This window comes from Homo sapiens, chromosome 14 (assembly GCF_000001405.40).
Source record: "Homo sapiens chromosome 14, GRCh38.p14 Primary Assembly".
Lineage (NCBI taxonomy): Eukaryota > Metazoa > Chordata > Mammalia > Primates > Hominidae > Homo > Homo sapiens.
This window is the reverse complement of record NC_000014.9, coordinates 31,265,458-31,284,292: the sequence shown is the minus strand read 5'-3', so window position 1 is coordinate 31,284,292 and position 18,835 is coordinate 31,265,458. Positions and strand designations below refer to the sequence as shown.

General features: G+C 42.1%; 3 annotated features.

Moving 5' to 3' along the window:
- Positions 13,816-14,110: an enhancer, noted in NCBI's record as "tiled region #11779; HepG2 Activating DNase matched - State 25:Art, and K562 Activating non-DNase unmatched - State 13:Ctcf". NCBI's record gives its function as "activates a minimal TATA promoter and a strong SV40 promoter by Sharpr-MPRA in HepG2 and K562 cells {active_cell/tissue: HepG2 | K562}" and the evidence as "EXISTENCE:reporter gene assay evidence [ECO:0000049][PMID:27701403]".
- Positions 13,971-14,020: an enhancer, noted in NCBI's record as "active region_8231". NCBI's record gives its function as "activates an Ori minimal core promoter by ATAC-STARR-seq in GM12878 lymphoblastoid cells {active_cell/tissue: GM12878}" and the evidence as "EXISTENCE:reporter gene assay evidence [ECO:0000049][PMID:35858748]".
- Positions 18,316-18,610: a silencer, noted in NCBI's record as "tiled region #13013; HepG2 Repressive non-DNase unmatched - State 1:Tss". NCBI's record gives its function as "represses a minimal TATA promoter and a strong SV40 promoter by Sharpr-MPRA in HepG2 cells {active_cell/tissue: HepG2}" and the evidence as "EXISTENCE:reporter gene assay evidence [ECO:0000049][PMID:27701403]".

The following is an 18,835-nucleotide window of genomic DNA, read 5'->3' as shown; positions in this document are numbered from 1 at the left end:
GTGCTGTTGACAATGTTTTTGCTTAATTGGATCAAAATTTAATCTTTTTCCTGGAAAAATACCTACAGGCCAAAAAACTTTATAAGCAGAAAAACAGACACAAGACACAGAAACACACACACATGTCAGAAATAGCAGACTGCTTTATAAAATATTCCAAGAAAGAACAAAACAAATGAGATTTTTTAACAGCAAAGTATGCCGGTGACACAGCAAAAGCAGCTTTGCTAGTGCTATTATTGGAGGAAGTACAAGTGGCCCCAGAAAGAAAACGTGCATGTGCAACCAAAACTGATGGCCTCGGCTGAACAATGAACTCTATAAGTCCCACTGTTTTCTCTGTTAATTACTGCTTTCTTGGGAAAGTTTTGGGCCTTCTGTTTTATATTCAAATGCTGGAGGAGTGCTCACCACTCTCTGAATTGCCAGGGTAACTGGGCTTCCCACATCCTTTCCCTCTCTAGTGGTGTCAAGTACTAGAAACACATCATCTAGATCTTTGTTTAAACACAAAAGCTCCTTAAAAATAGATTTTCTAAATTATGGAAATGCTTTTGTTTCAGTGGTCAACAGATCAATTGTGAGTCAACATCAGATGAGAAGTGGTTCCTATTCTCCACTTCCTATTCTGCAGTCAGCTGTAGTTATCATCATTTGCTACAGTTTTCATTGCAGATGCTTTCTCTTTTCAATAATAGTGTGATCATTGTGATTCTCAATGATGTATAAAAAATTTGTAGAATTTTCTACAATGAATATGTTCCCTTAGTTGATAGATTTATATTCTTAACAGTACTGGGACTTCCAGAAATCACCCTAGATCCTGTCTCTAGGAAAGCACATGCCTAAACCATTTAGAACAATTCTTTTTTTTTTTTAGACAGGATCTCACTCTGTTGCCCAGGCTGGAGTGCAGTGGCATGATGATGGCTCACTGCAGACTTGACCTCCCTAGGCTCAAGTGATCCTCTCACCTCAGCCTCCTGAGTAGCTGGGACTACAGGCGTGCATCACCATGTCTAGCTAATTTTTTGTAGAGATGGGCACATATCACCCTTTAAGCAGACAGCATATTTCAAAAAAACATTTTAAAAATGATTCTTACTATTTCAAGAATTCTGTATTTTTTGAGCAAATAAGAAGCCATAGGCTGGGCATGGTGGCTCATGCCTGTAATGCCAGCACTTTGGAAGGCTGAGGCGGGTGGATTGCTTGAGACCAGGAGTTGAGACCACCCTGGCCAACATGGCAAAACACTGTCTCTACTAAAAGTATAAAAATTAGCCAGGCATGGTGGCTAATGTTCACCGTGTTACCCAGGCTGGTCTCAAACTCCTGGGCTCAAGCCATCTGCAGGCCTCGGCCTCCCAAAGTGCTAGGATTACAGGTGTAAGCCACCTCGCCCAGCCCATTCTATTCTAAAAGATTGGAAGTTTTCATTGTTTTTTCTTGATAACCTATTTAGCGTATCTCATTGTGTGAATAATGGAGTAGTTATGAATTCTTTTTTTTTTTTTTTGAGACGGAGTCTCACTCTGTTGCCCAGGCTGGAGTGCAGTGGCACGATCTCAGCTCACTGCAACCTCCGCCTCCTGGGTTGAAGTGATACTCCTGCCTCAGCCTCCCGAGTACCTGGGATTACAGGCATGCACCACCACACCCAGCTAATTTTTGTATTTTTAGTAGAGATGGCGTTTCACCATGTTGGCCAGGCTGGTCTCAAACTCCTGACCTCAGGTGATTCGCCCGCCTCGGCCTCCCAAAGTGCTGGGATTACAGGTGTGAGACGCCGCGTCCAATCAAAGCAATTTCTTTTGAGGTATGATAGGGCATGTGACGACTTCAGGAACGGCTGGATTTTTTGGGGGGGGCGGGGGACTGAGTCTCGCTTTGTTGCCCAGGCTGGAGTGCAGTGGCACCATCTCGGCTCACTGCAACCTCCACCTCCCAGGTTCAAGTGATTCTCCTGCCTCAGCCTCCTGAGTAGCTGGGACTACAGGCGTGCACTACCATGCCCATCTAATTTTGTATTTTGTATTTTTAGAGAGGGGTTTCACCATGTTGGCAGGCTGATCTCAAACTCCTGACCTGAAGTGATTAGCCACCTCCACCTCCCAAAGTGCTAGGCATGAGCCACCATGCCTGGCCCATAATCATCTTTTCTATAAGCATTTAAAAGTGTCTGTTTTAGTTTCCTAGGACTGCTGTAACAAACTACCATAAATCCAATGGCTTTATGCAATCAAAATTTTGTTTTCTCCCCATTCTGGAGGCCAGAAGTCTGAAATCAAGGCCTAGGCTCACTTCAAAGGCCCTAGGGAAGAATTCTTTCTTGCCTCTTCTAGCTTCTAGTGTTCCAGGTATTCCCTGGCTTCTAGCGCCATAACTCCAAGTCTCTGCCTCCATCTTCACAAGGTTTCCTCCATCTGTCTCTCTTCTATGTGTCTCTCATAAGGACAATTTTAATTGGATTTAGGGCCCACCAGAATAATTCAGGATGGGCCCTAAATAATCTCCTCTCTAGTTCCTTAATTATTATACCTACAAAAGCCTACTTTTCCAAATTAAATCACATTCACAGGTTCTGGAACACGGACATACCTCCTTAGGGGCCGTCATTCTACCCACTACAGTGCCCCAAATTCCTGAATTCCAGACTCAGCATTGCAATGAATACAGCAGTAGCTCTTATTCATCAAATACATTATTTATTTTCACTTGCTCAAGCAGATTTCAACCAAGCTACTTATCAAGAAGTCAGTTACATGCTGAGACAACTGGAAAGGCACATGCAAAAAAAATGAAATTGGACCTTTACCTCACACATATACTAAAGTTACACGAAAATGAATCAAAGACCTAAATATAAGCTAAAACTGTAAACCTCTTAGAAGAAAATATAGACGTAAATTTCCGTGACTTGGATTTGGTAATGGTTTCTTAGATATAACACATAAAGCACAAGTGACCAGAGAAAAAGGAGATAAATTGGACTTCAAAATTAAAAACTTTTGTACTTCAAAAGACACCATCAAGAAAGTGAAAAGGCAACACACAGAATGAGAGGGAGAACTTGGCAAATCACATATCTAATAAAAGTCTAATATCCAGAATATATCAAGAACTCTTAAAACTCAACACTGAAGGCCGGGGGTGGTGACTCATGCCTGTAATCCCAGAACTCCAAGAGGCTGAGGCGGGAGGATCACTTGAGCTCCAAGAATTCAACACCAGCCTCGGCAACATGGTGAGACCCTGCCTCTATTTTAAAGAAAATAAAAGAAAAGAAAACTCAATACTGAAAAGACAATCCAATTTAAAAATGGGTAAAGGATTTAAATAGACATTTCTTCAAGGAATATAATAGATGCTCAATAAGCAAATGAAAAGATGCTCAACATCATTAATCATTAGGGAAATGCAAAACCACAATGAGATGCCACTTCACATCCACCAGGATGGCTGTGTGAACACCAGTATCTGAGACAGGCCTCGGTTAATTTAGAAAGTTTATTTTGCCAAGGTTGAGGATACACACTGGTGACACAACCTCAGGAGGTCCTGACAACATGTGCCCAAGGTGGTCAGAGCACAGTTTGGTTTTATACATTTTAGGGAGACATGAGACATCAATCAACATATGTAAGATAAATATTGGTTCAGAAAGGCGGGATAACTCAAAGTGTGGAGGGGGATTCCAGGTCATAGGTAGATAAGAGACAAATGTTTGCATTCTTTTGAGTTACCTGATTAGCCTCTCCAAAGGAGGCATTTATCTGATTAGCCTCTCCTTTGGAGAGGCTATCTCAGTGAACAGAGGGGTGAGTTTGAATAGAATGCGAGGCAGGTTTGCCCTAAACAGTCACCAGCTTGACTTTTCACTTTAGCTTAGTGATTTTGGGGCCCCAAGATTTAGTTTCCTTTCACATTTCCGCCTTCTCTTTTAAAAAAATCTTTTGGAGAAAGCATTTTAGAAGAAAATGAGTCTCTGGTTTCAGGCTTCATCTGATTCCTAGACAGGTAGGTCCAGAGATATTAGGAAAGCTCATTTTTAGCAGGTTGTGAAGTTTCCTGTCCTATGAAGAGAAAGTAAGAGGAGGAAGGGAGGAAAACAACAAGAAACAAAAGAAGAATCCTGGAAAATCAATATAAGCCACATTACTCTGAAGTTCATACATCAGTAGCAGGTATGAAAGTGGCTGATATATGTAAATAGGTTGCTGTTATTTTCTTCTGAAGTTTAAGTTGTCTAGCTTCAGTTCACAGGGCTTTAAGAAAGCACAGCTTAATTTTTGGTGACTCCAAATTAGGAAAAATGGGGGAAAAAAGAATGAAAAAAATTGAAAACATTATTTTGAAGACTTCTAGCCAAAAAAAAAAAAAAAAATCAGTCCAAACTGTAGAAAATAATAAAAATTGAAAAACATTAGGCAAGACTAGAATCTAACAACAGGTGAACTATAGTTTTTGAAACATAAATTTTCTCTCTCCAGTTTCCCATTTTTGCTAAAGACAAATCATAGTGGGACTGATTTGCTTTATTATACTTGGCCTGATTATTTGTATACAGTGCAGCAAGAATATTTTTTTTTTTGAGATGGAATTTCACTCTTGTTGCCCAGGCTAGAGTGCAATGATGCAAACTTGGCTCACCACAACCTCTGCCTCCCAGATTCAAGCAGTTCTCCTGCCTCACCCTCCTGAGCAGCTGGGATTACAGGCATGCACCACCACACCTGGCTAATTTTGTATTTTTAGTAGAGACAGGGTTTCTCCATGTTGGTCAGGCTGGTCTCGAGCTCCCGACCTCAAGTGATCCACCCACCTTGGCCTCCCAAAGTGCTAGGATTACAGGCGTGAGCCACCACGCCCAGCCATAATTTTTTTACATAGTCTTTTAAATTGGCTTCGATGGAACATTGTTTCACTGGTCAGGAACCCGGTACATGGACTGTGTAGACAAAGGTATGAGGCCACTTTTCCCAAGGGGTTTTTATTGGCTCTATTAGTCGTTTGATTCCTTAAAGGAAAGTACACCATTTCAGTCAAAGCCTTGATAAAATAACCAGTTTCTCCAATTGTGTCCTACTACAAATGAACACAGATTCTTATTGAACTTATGCAAATAACCATATTGCCAAAAGTTAAGAATACTCACAAATAGTTCCCAAATTCTGGAGAAATCAGGTAGAAAGAAACAAATATGCTCCAAATTTTGTTCATAGGAGTATACTTCCTTGTTAAAAGTTGACAATAGCTCAAAAGAAATGTTTCCTTGACTCTGAAAAAACAAAACAAAGGATCAGAAATGTTTTAATCAAAGTGTCAAAAAGACTACTTCAGTCCTCTATCAGTTCAGTCCATGCAGTTAATTCCTGGTCTACTTCATTTTCATGAATATTTCAGCTCTCCATGAGTCCTGAAAGTTTTCCCTCAATTCTGATGTCACAGTCTCCAAAGTTATCAGAAACCTGCATTCAAGAGCACCTTTTAGGCTGGGTACAGTGGCTCATGCCTGTAATCTCAGCACTTTGGGGAGGCCGAGGTGGGTGGATCACCTGAGGTCAGGAGTTTGAGAACAGCCCAGCCAACATGGTGAAACCCTGTCTCTACTAAAAATATAAAAATTAGCCAGGTGTGGTGGTGGGCACCTGTAATCCCAGCTACTCAGGAGGCTGAGGCAGGAGAATTGTTTGAACCCGGGAGGTGGAGGTTGCAGTGAGCCAAGATTGTGCCATTGCACTCCAGCCTGTCTCAAAAAAAAAAAAAAAAAAAAGAGCACCTGTTAGCACTTGTTAGAGTTTTATTGATTATAAAGCCACCTTATAAAGAGGACCAAACCAAGAAAACAATTGTCTGTGGATGACAAAAAGTTTTAGGGCAGCCATAGTAAAAAACACAACTGACAAGGAAATTTTTTGCCTCTGTGGCAGACAATAATTTAACATAATGATTACAATTATCACTGATAATGTATACTAAGTCATATCAGAATTATAGGAGTTTCCCATAATTTTGGAACACATACCAATAACATATTTATACAAATACAGCCCAAAGAAAACCAAACACCATTTCATATTTGACAGTGCTTCCTGTATAATTTTTATACCAAATAAGACAAATTATGTCATTTTTGGACTTTAGGGAACCTAATATCTTAAAGGATTAATTAGGTCAGAAAAAGACATAACACACACACACACATATATATGTGTGTGTGTGTGTATATATATATATATATATATATATATATATATTTTTTTTTTTTTTTTTTTTTTTTTTTTGAGACAAAGTCTCCCTCTGTCACCCAGGCTGGAGTGCAGTGGTGCGATCGTGGCTCACTGCCACCTCTGGCTCCTGGGTTCAAGCAATTCTTCTGCCTCAGCCTCCCAAGTAGCTGGGACTACAGGCATGTGCCAACACACCCAGTTAATTTTTGTATTTTTAGTAAAGATGGGGTTTCACTATGTTGGCCAGGCTGGTCCCAAACTCTTGACCTCAGGTGATTCACTGCCTTGGCCTCCCAAAGTGCTGGGATTACAGGCATAAGCCATCGCACCTGGCCAATACATAATTTATAATTTGATTCTGGGTTGTCAAATATCAAAGGTTTAAAACACTTGGTATCACACTCATTGTAAAATAACTCATTCATTTGACCAAAGTGATAACTCGGGGATTAAAAAAAAAAGTGAAAACCTTCATTCATTGAGGAGACTTAATTTTTATAAACAATCTATAAAATTTTAATCTTGACCATAAGATATAACTTCCATAAGCCTTTTATAAACATTGTAACCTTTATTAAGGAGTCACTTAATGCTTCAAGAAACCTTGTTGATCTGACACAGGGGCCCATATGCTGGTCTTGCATCAGTGTGCCTTTCACATTATTGATTAACTTATAGAGAAACTGAACTTATTTTATTCCTGAAAATTGGCCCTTACAGTGTCACACACCCACCTCTTCCACAATAGTCCCTGGGCCTTGTGGAGTTGAATAGCTTTAAATTCTGACCCTGTGTCACAGGAAATGCAGTTTATTTTGATTGGCATCTTCCAGCAGGCCTGAAGATGAGCCTTTAATTGCTGTCAGAGTTTAGGATTTCTCAGGACTTGGTGTCCTTTTTAGACCTAGGAGTCAAAGCCTTGTAACTCACTGTCACAAGGACTTTAAAAGCACATACGAGGGCTGGGTGTGGTGGCCCACACCTGTAATCCCAGCACTTTTGGAGGCTGAAGCAGGCGGATTGCCTGAGGTCAGGAGGCAAGCGGATTGCCTGAGGTCAGGAGTTCAAGACCAGCCTGGTCAACATGGTGAAGCCCCGTCTCTACTAAAAATACAAAAATTAGCTGGGCATGGTGACGTGCGCCTGTAGTCCCAGCTACTCAGTAGGCTGAGGCAGGAGAATCGCTTGAACCCAGGAGGCGGATGTTGCAGTGAGCTGAGATCGTGCCATTGAACTCCACCTTGGGCTATAAGAACAAAATTCTGTCGAAAGAAAAGAAAGAAAGAAAGAAAGAAAGAAGGAAGGAAGGAAGGAAGGAAGGAAGGAAGGAAGGAAGGAAAGGAAGGAAGGAAGGAAGGAAGGAAGGAAGAAAGAAAGAAAGAAAGAAAGAAAGAAAAAGAAAGAAAGAAAAAACATTGTTATCATCAGGCCACAACAGCAAACACAACTCAAGGAAATAAACTTATATGAGCTGGAAATGAGTTGAAGGAGAGTGTTACTATTTTGCGCCCTTTAAAAGGGTTAAAAGGGGACAGAAAATGAAAATGGTGAGATCCAATAAAGGTGAACGTTGAGTTAAAAAAAATTAAAATCTCTTGGCCGGGCACAGTGGCTCATGCCTGTAATCCCAACGCTTTGGGAGACCAAAGTGGGCAGATCATAAGATCAGGAGATCGAGACCATCCTGGCTAACACAGCGAAACCTCGTCTCTACTAAAAATACAAAAAATTAGCTGGGTGTAGTGGTGGGTGCCTGTAGTCCCAGCTACTCCGGAGGCTGAGGCAGAAGAATGGCATGAACCCGGCAGGCGGAGCTTGCAGTGAGCCGAGATCGTGCCACTGCACTCCAGCCTCAGTGACAGTGTGAGACTCTGTCTCAAAAAAGTAAATAAAAATAAAAATAAAAAATAAATTAAAATCTCTCATAATTTATTAAGAGTAAATCAATCCCTTAAGAAAATTTCATTGTTGTAACCAATTATATAGTGTATAAGATTTTTTATACATCAAGCCCAGTCTCTGAAAAGACCATTATAATTTCACTTTAATTATAGACAACTTGATCATATAAAAGTTTTTTTTAATAAATCTTCTTATTGTGACTTACATAGACTGTTCATGACATGCTTTGACTTTCTGGTTTGTCCTGAACATCCTTCTTTCTTAAACAGTCATTTTATTCTAGGACTAAATTTGCCACACAAGATTCTTTCTCATATGAAATTATTTTTCTTTATGTTTTCTTACCAAAAAAAACTAAAAAACCTCTTTATTTTTATAACTTTTTTTTTTCCTTTTTTTTCAAGATGGAGTCTCATTCTGTCATCCAGGTTGGAGTGCAGTGGCACAATCTCAACACACTACAACCTCCACCTCCTGGGTTCAAGTGATTTTCCTGCCTCAGCCTCCGAAGTATTTGGGATTACAGTCGTCCACCACCACACCTGGCTAATTTTCATATTTTTAGTAGAGATGGGGTTTCACCATGTTGGCCAGGCTGGTCTGAAACTCTTGACCTCAGGTGACCCGTCTGCCTCGGCCTCCCAAAGTTCTGGTTCTGGTATTACAGTTGTGAGCCACCATGCCTGGCTTATTTTTATAACTTTATTTACATCTCTCTTATTTCATGATTCTTTTTAGCTTGGCTTTTTTTTTTTTTTTTTTTTTGAGATGGAGTTTTGCTCTTGTTGCCCAGGCTGGAGTGAAATGGCATGATCTTGGCTCACCACAACCTCCACCTCCCAGGTTCAAGCAATTCTCCTGCCCCAGCCTCCCGAGTAGCTGGGATTACAGGCATGCACCATCACGCCCAGCTAATTTTGTATTTTTAATAGAGACAGAGTTTCTCCATGTTAGTCAGGTTGGTCTTGAACTCCCGACCTCAGGTGATCTGCCCACCTCAGCCTCCCAAAGTTCTGGGATCACAGGCGTGAGCCACCATGCCCAACCCCTTTTTACCTTGCTTTATATATAACCTTTAAATAAGCTTTGAATCAGACAAAACTTTTTCACCTTTTTAAAAGGACACACATTTTTTCAGAAAGAATGTTTTTCTACAATATAATTTTATTGGAAAATACCCAAATAATAAAATACCTATTATTTATTATTATTATTTTGAGACAGAGTCTCCCTCTGTCACCCAGGCTGGAGTGCAGTGGTGCAATCTCAGCTCACTGCCACCGCTGCCTCCCAGGTTCAAACAATTCTCCTGTCTCAGCCTCCCAAGTAGCTGGGACTACAGGCACCCACCATCATGCCTGGCTAATTTTTTTTTATTATTATTTTTAGTACAGACAAGATTTCACTATGTTGGCCAAGCAGGTCTTGAACCCCTGACCGCCCACCTCAGCCTCCCAAAGTGCTGGGATTACAGGCATGAGCCACCATGCCCAGCCATATTATTTAATTTAATATAACTTTAGATTCTAAGTTATGACAAGTTTGTCTACAACTATCCCATTGTATTTACCTAATTATTTTATTTTCATTATTTACCTAGATTACTTATGAAAACTGTGATAGTCATCATTTAAAGTTATGGAACCATAACTATGGAACTGCAAAATTATAACTGAGACAGTGAAAAAGATCTGACCTAATTGACTTCATCTTGCTTCTAACCTCCAAGCTGTCCTTGTTCATTCCTGGGTATAGGCCAAACTAACTTTGGGAGGAACCTAGTTTATAGTTTAGCTTTGAAACGACATTAACAGTCCTTTCCCAAACAGATTTTAGAGCTCTTTTTCCTTAATGTAAATATGCACAAAGACCATATTAGTTCTATTTTACATAAACTCTGGCAAGTAGAGGTGCCATAAAACCTATGGATTACTTGAAAGGGGGCCATTCTCCTTGTTTTCTCCTCATTCTTAGATGATTTGTTTCCTACTTATTTTCCTAAAAGGAGGAACTGAGCTGTAGCCTAAGGTTTTTGAGTGGTAGATTGATGTGTACTGCTTGTGGGCAGGACTCCACAGTGTGTCACCACTGAGTCATTTCCACCCTCTTATGTATCTCAGTTTCTCTCTCCAGAGTTCTATGACCTCTGAGAGAGCTCAAAACACTGGGTGATCAGCCCTCATATGCATTTCCTGGACAAGCTTTTTCTTTTTCTTTTTTTTTTTTTTTTTTTTTGAGGCAGAGTCTTGCTCTGTCACCCATGCTGGAGTGCAGTGGCATGATCTCAGCTCACTGCAACCTCCACCTCCCACATTCAAGTGATTCTCCTGCCTCAGCCTCCTGAGTAGCTGGGATTACAGGTACCTGCCACCACACCCAGCTAACTTTTGTATTTTTAGTAGAGACAGGGTTTCACCATGTTGGCCAGGTTGGTCTCAAACTCCTGACCTCAGGTGATCCGCCCTCCTTGGCCTCCCAAAGCGCTGGGATTACAGGTGTGAGCCACCACACCCGGCTGCCTTTTTCAAAATTAATTTTTGTTGGGGATTTCCCTGTAGGGCTGCTACACATCATCTGGGGGGTCAATCACCCAGACACTCCCATGAGCCCCCCGGTCACCCAGGGGCACCATTTGTCTGGGAGGAGCAAAATGCCTTTCTCTTTCAAACTGAGAAAACTCAGTTTCTCATTTACCTATGAAAACAACAGTTCAGTTCCTCATGCAATTGTTCACAGACAAGCCAAATCGAAATTAGTTTTGGGATAGAGAAGATCCTTTAGAATGCATCTCCAAACTAGAATTAGGATCCTTAAACAACGACTTCCTAGGAGGAAAAAAAAAAAAAACAGCCAGGCACAGTGGCTCACGCCTGTAATCCCATCACTTTGGGAGGCTGAGGTGGGAGGATCACCTGAGGTCAGGAGTTCAAGACCAGCCTGACCAACATGGAGAAACCCTGTCTCTACTAAAAATACAAAATTAGCCAGGCATGGTGGCACATGTCTGTAATCCCAGCTTCTCAGGAGACTGAGGCAGGAAAATTGCTTGAATCCAGGAGGCAGAGGTTGCAGTGAGCTGAGATCACGCCATTGTATTCCAGCCTGGGCAACAAGAGCGAAACTCTGTGTCAAAAAACAACAACAACAACAGCGAAGACCACTTCCTGTAAACTGTGCTCAGCCACCCTTACCTTTCTAGCTCTCATCTGCCATTTCACATGCCAGGGTCAAATCCTCTCACAGTACAAGGTCATCTCTGGTTACCTGCAAAGCCAAAGAGGTCAGCTCATGTAATACAGGAAAACAGAGCTTTAGACCTAAGAAGAATCTGCCCAGGACTCTTGAAACACCACAAGGAAAACAGAACACCCCAAAAGGGATGAGTGATGACTTTGTTCTGAATTCTTTAAAGGGGTTCAAGTTATTAGAAGCCTTCTCTAGATTTTCTGATACTACAGGTGGCAAAGAGGGAAGGAGGTACAGGGCGGAAGAAAAGTAAATGAAAGAACATTTCATTTTTTAAGGAGGAAGCAAACACAGAAACCAAACACATGGGTTGTTTTTTTTTCCTCTTTTGTAGCTGCAAGGAATTTTAGCCAAATTAGAGAGGCTTTGGAAGTCCCTCTTGGATTTGAGGAAGTCAGGTAGACTTGGTCACTGAGTGCTCTAATGGTAAGGAGAAATTAAGACCAGCTGGTTGTTAAACTTTAGCCAAGACAATTCAGCTACTTACCTAGGGATGAGTCTCAGGCTGAAGACTGCTCTCTACCATCCTTGAAGCAGGAAACACTTGAACTCGTCTTCCCTGCTGGGAGCGAGCTCAAACTCCATAAAGGAGCCTGCCTTCCAACATCAGCAAGAAATCTTGCATTCCTTGTTGGAAGCAAGTAAAACAAAAAAAAAAAAAAAAAAAAGGTGTTGGGGGGAGTTGTACAGCAAAATAAACTTTAGATCTCAACCAAATTTTGGGAGATCAGGGGTCCTCTGGAGGGTGTGCTCCCAAACCTCAGCAATTTGTCCTGTTGGTTTAAGCCATAAGGTTAGGTCATGCTGGTACCAAGCACCGATAGGAACTTCGTCAAAGATCAGGTGCACCTCCACTCAGAATCCCTTCGTGGTTACCAAAATGTGAACCCGGCATATGTGAGACCGGCCTCAGTTAATTTAGATAGTTTATTTTGCCAAGGTTGAGGGCACACACCCATGACACAGCCTCAGGAGGTCCGGACGACATGTGCCCAAGGTGGTCAGAGCACAGTTTAGTTTTATCATTTTAGGGAGACATGAGACATCAATCAGCATATGTAAGATGAACATTGGTTCAGCCTGGAAAAGAGGACAACTCAAAGCAAAGGCGGGGCCACTCGAAGCAGGGAGGGGGCTTCTAGGTCATAGGTAGATAAGAGAAAAACGGTTGCATTCTTTTGAGTTTCTGATTGGCCTCTCCAAAGAGGCAAGCAGATATGCATTTATCTCAGTGAGCAGGTGATTTTGAATAGAATGGGAGGCAGGTTTGCCCTAAGCAGTTCCCAGCTTGACTTTACCCTTTAACTTAGTGATTTTGAGGCCCCAAGATTTATTTTCCTTTCATAGCTATGATAAAAAAAATACAGACAATACAAAGAATTGGGGAGGATGTAGAAAAATTACAACCTCTGTACATTGCTGATTTTTTTTTAATTAACAGAGAAAATTTTATGTATTGTGTAGAACACAATGTTTTGAAGTATATATACATTGTGGAATAGTTAAATCTAGCTAATTAACAAATGTGTTACCTCACATAATTATCACTTTTGTGGTGAGAACACTTATCATCCTCTCCATTTACCTTTTTTCTTTTTTCAGACAAGGTCTTGCTCTGTTACCCAGGCTGTAGTGCACTGGTATGATCATAGCTCACTGCAGCCTCAAACTCCCTGGGCTGAAGCAATCCTTCCACCTCAGCCTCCTGAGTAGCAGGGACAACAGGTGTGCACCATGACATCTGAACACTCTATTTGCATTTTTTTAGTACACTATATTGTCATTAACTGTAGTCTCCATGCTGTATAATAGGTCTCTAAATGGTAAGAAATTAAACATAATTATGATATGATCCAGCAATTCCACTCCTAGGTATGAAAAAATTGAAATGTTCACACACAAACTTGTACATGAACATTTATAGCAGCATTATTTATAATAGCCAAAAAGTGGAAACAACACAAGTGTCCATCAACTGATGAGTGTATTAACAAAATGTGTTATATCCAAACAGTGGAATATTACTCAGCCATAAAAATGAATGAAGCATTGATACATGCTACTAATGCAGGATTTTTCTTGGCCCCTTTGCCAGGTTTGAAGCAGCAGACATCCCATCTGCTTGGCCCACCGGGCCATGTCTGGCTTGCACTCCAGCCCATGGCTCCTGCTGCTGCTGCTGTGACTACATGCTCAGCCCCTGGCAGGAGAGGATGTGTGTGTGAGTGAGTATGGGATCTGACCAGCCATTCCAAACTTCAGCACAGGAGTGGGCTCCATGCAGTGCTTGCAGCTGGACGAGGTGTGTCCTGCCACATCCCAAGGGGATGCAGTGGTGCCCAGGCAAGGGTGCCTACAACCCTGAAGCCCCAGAAGCAGTGTTACAACGTGCTAATTAGCTCATTTAGTCCCACCATCTGCAGCCTGATGGACAGCAGTGTGTTAACAGCTTGGACAGGCCCTTGCCCAGCTCTGGCCCTTGGCTCCAGGGCTGGCTTGGCCCTACCATTGCTTCCTGTGACATTGGGAGGCTGCCCTCTGCTGGTGGAGGGAAGAGGGCCACAATGTTTACAGCCTTCTGAGTACCTGTGCTTGGTGGGTCCTGAATTCTTGTCCCACATCCAAGAAGAATGAGGTCATGCTGACAATTGAAGGGTGATGAGGGCGGAGAATTTTATTGAGCGACAAAACAGCTCTCAGCAGAGAGGGGACAGGAAGGTTGGGTCATCTCCCCAGTGTGGCTGAATCTGGGGGTTTTCATAGGCACAGGATGGGGAAGGGGAGGGCCATAGGTAGTATTGGAAAAGGTAACATTTGATTGGTTTAAAAGCATTATTCAGAAAGAACCAATCAGGAAAGGGTGGGCAAACAGGAACAGAAGTTCTCACTCAGGGTCGCAGGTTTCATCTGTAACCAGGAGTCCAATCTTTCAGCCTTCAGACTATGTTGGGCTTGAAGGTGGGGTTTCACCAAGGACCCGCCCCTAACTGCCTAGGCATTTGTCTGCCTCCTGCTGCTATCACTACAGTGTAGATGAACTTTGAAAACAGAAGAAGCCAAACAGAAAAGCCTTCTTATTATGATTCTATTTACATGAAATGTCTATTTATAGGAAATGCCTGTGAATAGGCAAATCCATACAGACAGGAAGTAGATTTGTGGTTGCTAGGGGTTGGAAAAGGGGGGCATGGGAGGTGATTGCTAATGGATATGGGGAGTCAGACATAAATAGTTAAGATGAAATCATACTGGAGTAGAGTGGGCCCTTAATCGAATCTGACTCGAGTTCTTATAAAAAGAGGAGCCCCCAATGTGAAGATACAGAAACACAACACAGAGAGAAGACAGCTGTGTGAAGAAGAAGCAGAGATTGCAGTTATGTTGCCATAAGCAGAGGAATGTCTGGGGCTAGCAGAAGCTGGAAGAAGCAAGGAAACATCCTCCCTTAGAGGTTTGGGGAGGAGCATGGTCTTGCCAACACCTTGATTTTGGACTTTTAGCTTTCAGCACTGTGAGGGAATAAATTTCTGTTGCCTAAAGCAAGTTAGTTTGTGGTACTTAGTTATGGCAGCTGTGGGAAACTCATGGAGATTTATATCTCAATTTTATTTTATTTTTTTTTAGAGACAGTCTCTCTCTGTCATCCAGGCTGGAGTGCAGTAGTGCTATCTTGGCTCACTGCAACCTCTGCCTCCCGGGTTCAAGTGATTCTCCTGCCTCAGCCAACTGAGTAGTTGGGATTACAAGCATGTGCCACTATGCCCAGCTAATTTTTGTAGAGACGGGGTCTCACCATGTTGGCAGGCTGGTCTCGAACTCCCTACCTTAAGTGATCCATCTACCCTGGCCTTCCAAAGTGCTGGGATTGCAGGCATAAGCCACCACACCTGGCTTATGTCTAAAGTTTTGAAAAAGGAACCAGTTGAAAAGAAGTTAGGAGAGCAGGCTATACTTGGCACATAGTTGTCACTCAAAAAATGTGAACATGGTACACTTTGATGGAAGGAAAGGTACTGGAAACGGTGGCTTGCTTAGGTAGATCAATTTTACTATTAGATTATAAATCTTTATTGCTAAAAAATCAGTCCTATCAACAGACTGACATCCTATCTTTTTAGTCATCTTACTTAGTAATGCTATTCCAAATCCCAAAACACAAGAGATTTTGTGTTACTTTTTGTCTCTGCCTATTGATCATGGTATGGCGATGCATTCCACTGTGTGATCTTAGGAAAGCCACCTTCTTATCTGGGGTTTAAATTTCCTCACCTACAAAATGTTCTTCCTACTTCATATTTGAATAATGAGGATTAAATGAAATAGTGTATTTGAAAACACTTGGAATTCCAACTACAGAGACTCACTCTTCCAATACTACGGATTGTGGTTATCTATCTAAATTAAGCTTGACAAAGAAGTCTTAATTAAAATGACCTTAAGGCGCTGTTTACCAAACATTCCTGATTGTAAGAACCATCTGGAGATACTTATTATAAATTCCAGACCCTTAGGGCTCACTCCAGAACTACTAAATTGGAATCTTCAGAGAAGAGGCATGAAACTCTTATTGTTAACAAGGGCCCAATGTGACTCTTATGATCTCAAAAATAGAGAGCTCTTCCCCGTCAATAGCTGTTCAAATGTAGTGTGGGAGAAACATCTGAAAAGCTTGTCAAAAAAGAGAAGTGGCAGGAAATTAAAAACAAGTGCCTGGAAGAAAAAATTAAATGCCAGAAAGTAACGAAGTGTTAAAACAAACAAACAGTGGGGTTGTGTCAAGTGGACAACAGGGCCACAAGAGTGCCCAAAAGGCCAAAACTGGAAAATGAGATTATTGGATTATAACTCGAAATGTAAAATAAACGTCTATAAGTCTCTCCTGATATAAATAAATAAATGAATAAATGATGGAAATGGACCAATCTCCCATGCAGAATTCCAAATAATTTATGTAAATATTCTACCCTCAAGGAGGTGAAACTGAACTCCCCACCCCTTATGTGTGGGTTGCACATGGTGATTTCCCCTGCCAAAGAATACATATGGAAAGGGGAGAGGAAAAAGAATACTGTGGGGAAATGACAGAACTACCTTAGTGTACACTTGTTACATGATAAGAGTGGCACTTTGTGGTCTTTTTCCCAAAAACCCATAACCCCGATCTAATCACGAGAAGAACATCAGACAAACCCAAGTTGAAGGGCATTCTATAAAAAATACCTGACCAGGCTGGGCGCAGTGGCTCACACCTGTAATCCCAGCACTTTGGGTGGCCGAGGCGGGCGCATCACCTGAGGTCGGGAGTTCAAGACCAGCCTGACCAACATGGAGAAACCCTGTCTCTACTAAAAAAAAAAAAAAAAAAAAATACAAAATTAGCCAGGCATGGTGGCACATGCCTGTAATCCCAGCTACTCGGGAGGCTGAGGCAGCAGAATAGCCTGAACCTGGGAAGCAGAGGTTGGGGTGAGCCATCGCGCCACTGCACTCCAGCCTGGGCAACAAGAGCAAAACTCTGTCTCTAAAACAAAAACAAAAAACCTGACCAGTACTTTTCAAAACTGTTAAGGTCATAAAAAACAAGGAAAGTCTGGGACCAGACACGGTGGCTCACGCCTGTAATTCCAACACTTCGGGAGGCCAAGACAGGAGGGTCGCTTAAGGCCAGGAGTTCAAGACTAGTCTGGGCAATATAACAAGATCTCACCTCTACAATCAAAAGATTCTCCTGGGTTGTTGGTCTGGGTGGCTCATGCCTGTAATCCCAGCACTCTGGGAGGCTGAGGCGGGTGGATCACTTGAAGTCAGAGTTCAAGACCAGCCTGGCCAACATGGTGAAACCCGGTCTCTACTAAAACTACAAAATTAGCCGGGCATGGTGGCAGGCAGCTGTAGTCCCAGCTACTCTGGAGGCTGAGACAGGAGAACCTCTTGAACCTGGGAGGCAGAGGTGCAGTGAGCTGAGATCGTGCCACCGCACTGCAGCCTGGGAGACACAGCAAGACTCCATCTCAAAAAGAAAAAAAAAAAAAAAAAAGATTCTCCTGGCATGGTGGCACACGCCTGTAGTCCCAGCTACTCCAGAGGCTGAGGTGAAAGGATTGCTTGAGTCCAGGAGTTCGAGGTTACAGTGAGCCATGATTACATCACTGCACTTCAGCCTGGGCAACAGAAGGAGACCCTATTTCAAAAAACAACAACAAAAGACTTATGACAAAAACAAGGCAAGTCTAAAAAACTGTCATAACAGAGAGAAGCCTAAGAAGGCACGATGACTAAATGTAGCATGGTATCCTAGATGGGATCCTGGAACAGAAAAAGGAGATTAGGTAAGAACTAAGAAAATGTGAATAAAATATGAACTTTAGTTAACAAGAAAGTATCAATATTGGTTCAACACTTGTGACAAATGTACCATACTAGTAGTGTAAGATGTTAATAACGGGAGACTGGGTGTGTGTTATATGGAAACTCTGTACTATCTTCACAATTTTTCTGTAAATCTAAAACTATTCTAAATGTTAATCTTTATTAAAAACAAAAAGAAATTCTGAATCACGACACTAAGGTAAGGTCCAATAATTTGCATTTTCTTTTTCTAGAGACGGAGGCTCGCTATGTTGCCCAGGCTGGAGTGCAGTGGCTATTCAGAGGTGTGATCTGTGATTGTGCACTAGATCCTCGAACTCCTGAGCTCAAGCAATCTTCCTGCCTAGCTTCCTGAGTAGCTGGGACTACAGGCACACAGCACCAGACCCAGCCAATAATTTGCATTTCTAATCAGCACTTGTTTCCCAACTCCCTTGCTTCTGATGGATGGCCACAAGCCCATTCCAAAGTCTGCTCCCTACCTGGCCTTCAGTGTAAAGTAGAACAACTGTGAGGACGTCTGGCCACAAAGTTCACTGATTAACACTGTAACAGGTATTTGCAAAGTAGGTCATCGCAGCCTCTGTTCACCTGCGTTTTTAGGGATTAGTCAGAGGAACAGGTAACCCTGTTTCAGATCACCAGCAGGAAAAGGCGTGGTCAAATAGAAAAGCAGATAGCTGGTTTCCATTTGGGGAGTAACACCCATCTTAATGGGTGTCAAAACAGCTTAGTCACTTCTATTTTGTTTATGCTGCTCCCTCTCCAAGTACCACTTCCTTGGGCTCCATCCCAGATAAAAGAAATCAAGTGCCAAAGCACTACCTCACAAAATGAGTTGCTGAAGACTTCCACGATAAATAGGTTGTTCCTGAGCTCCTGTTTCCAATAGACATTTCTCCAATCTTTTTTATTTTTTATTTTTTCTTGAGACAGAGTCTCGCTCTGTCGCCAGGCTGGAGTGCAGTGGCGCGATCTCGGCTCACTGCAAGCTCCGCCTCCCGGGTTCAGGCCATTCTCCTGCCTCAGCCTCCCGAGTAGCTGGGACTAAAGGCGCCCGCCACCATGCCCGTCTAATTTTTATA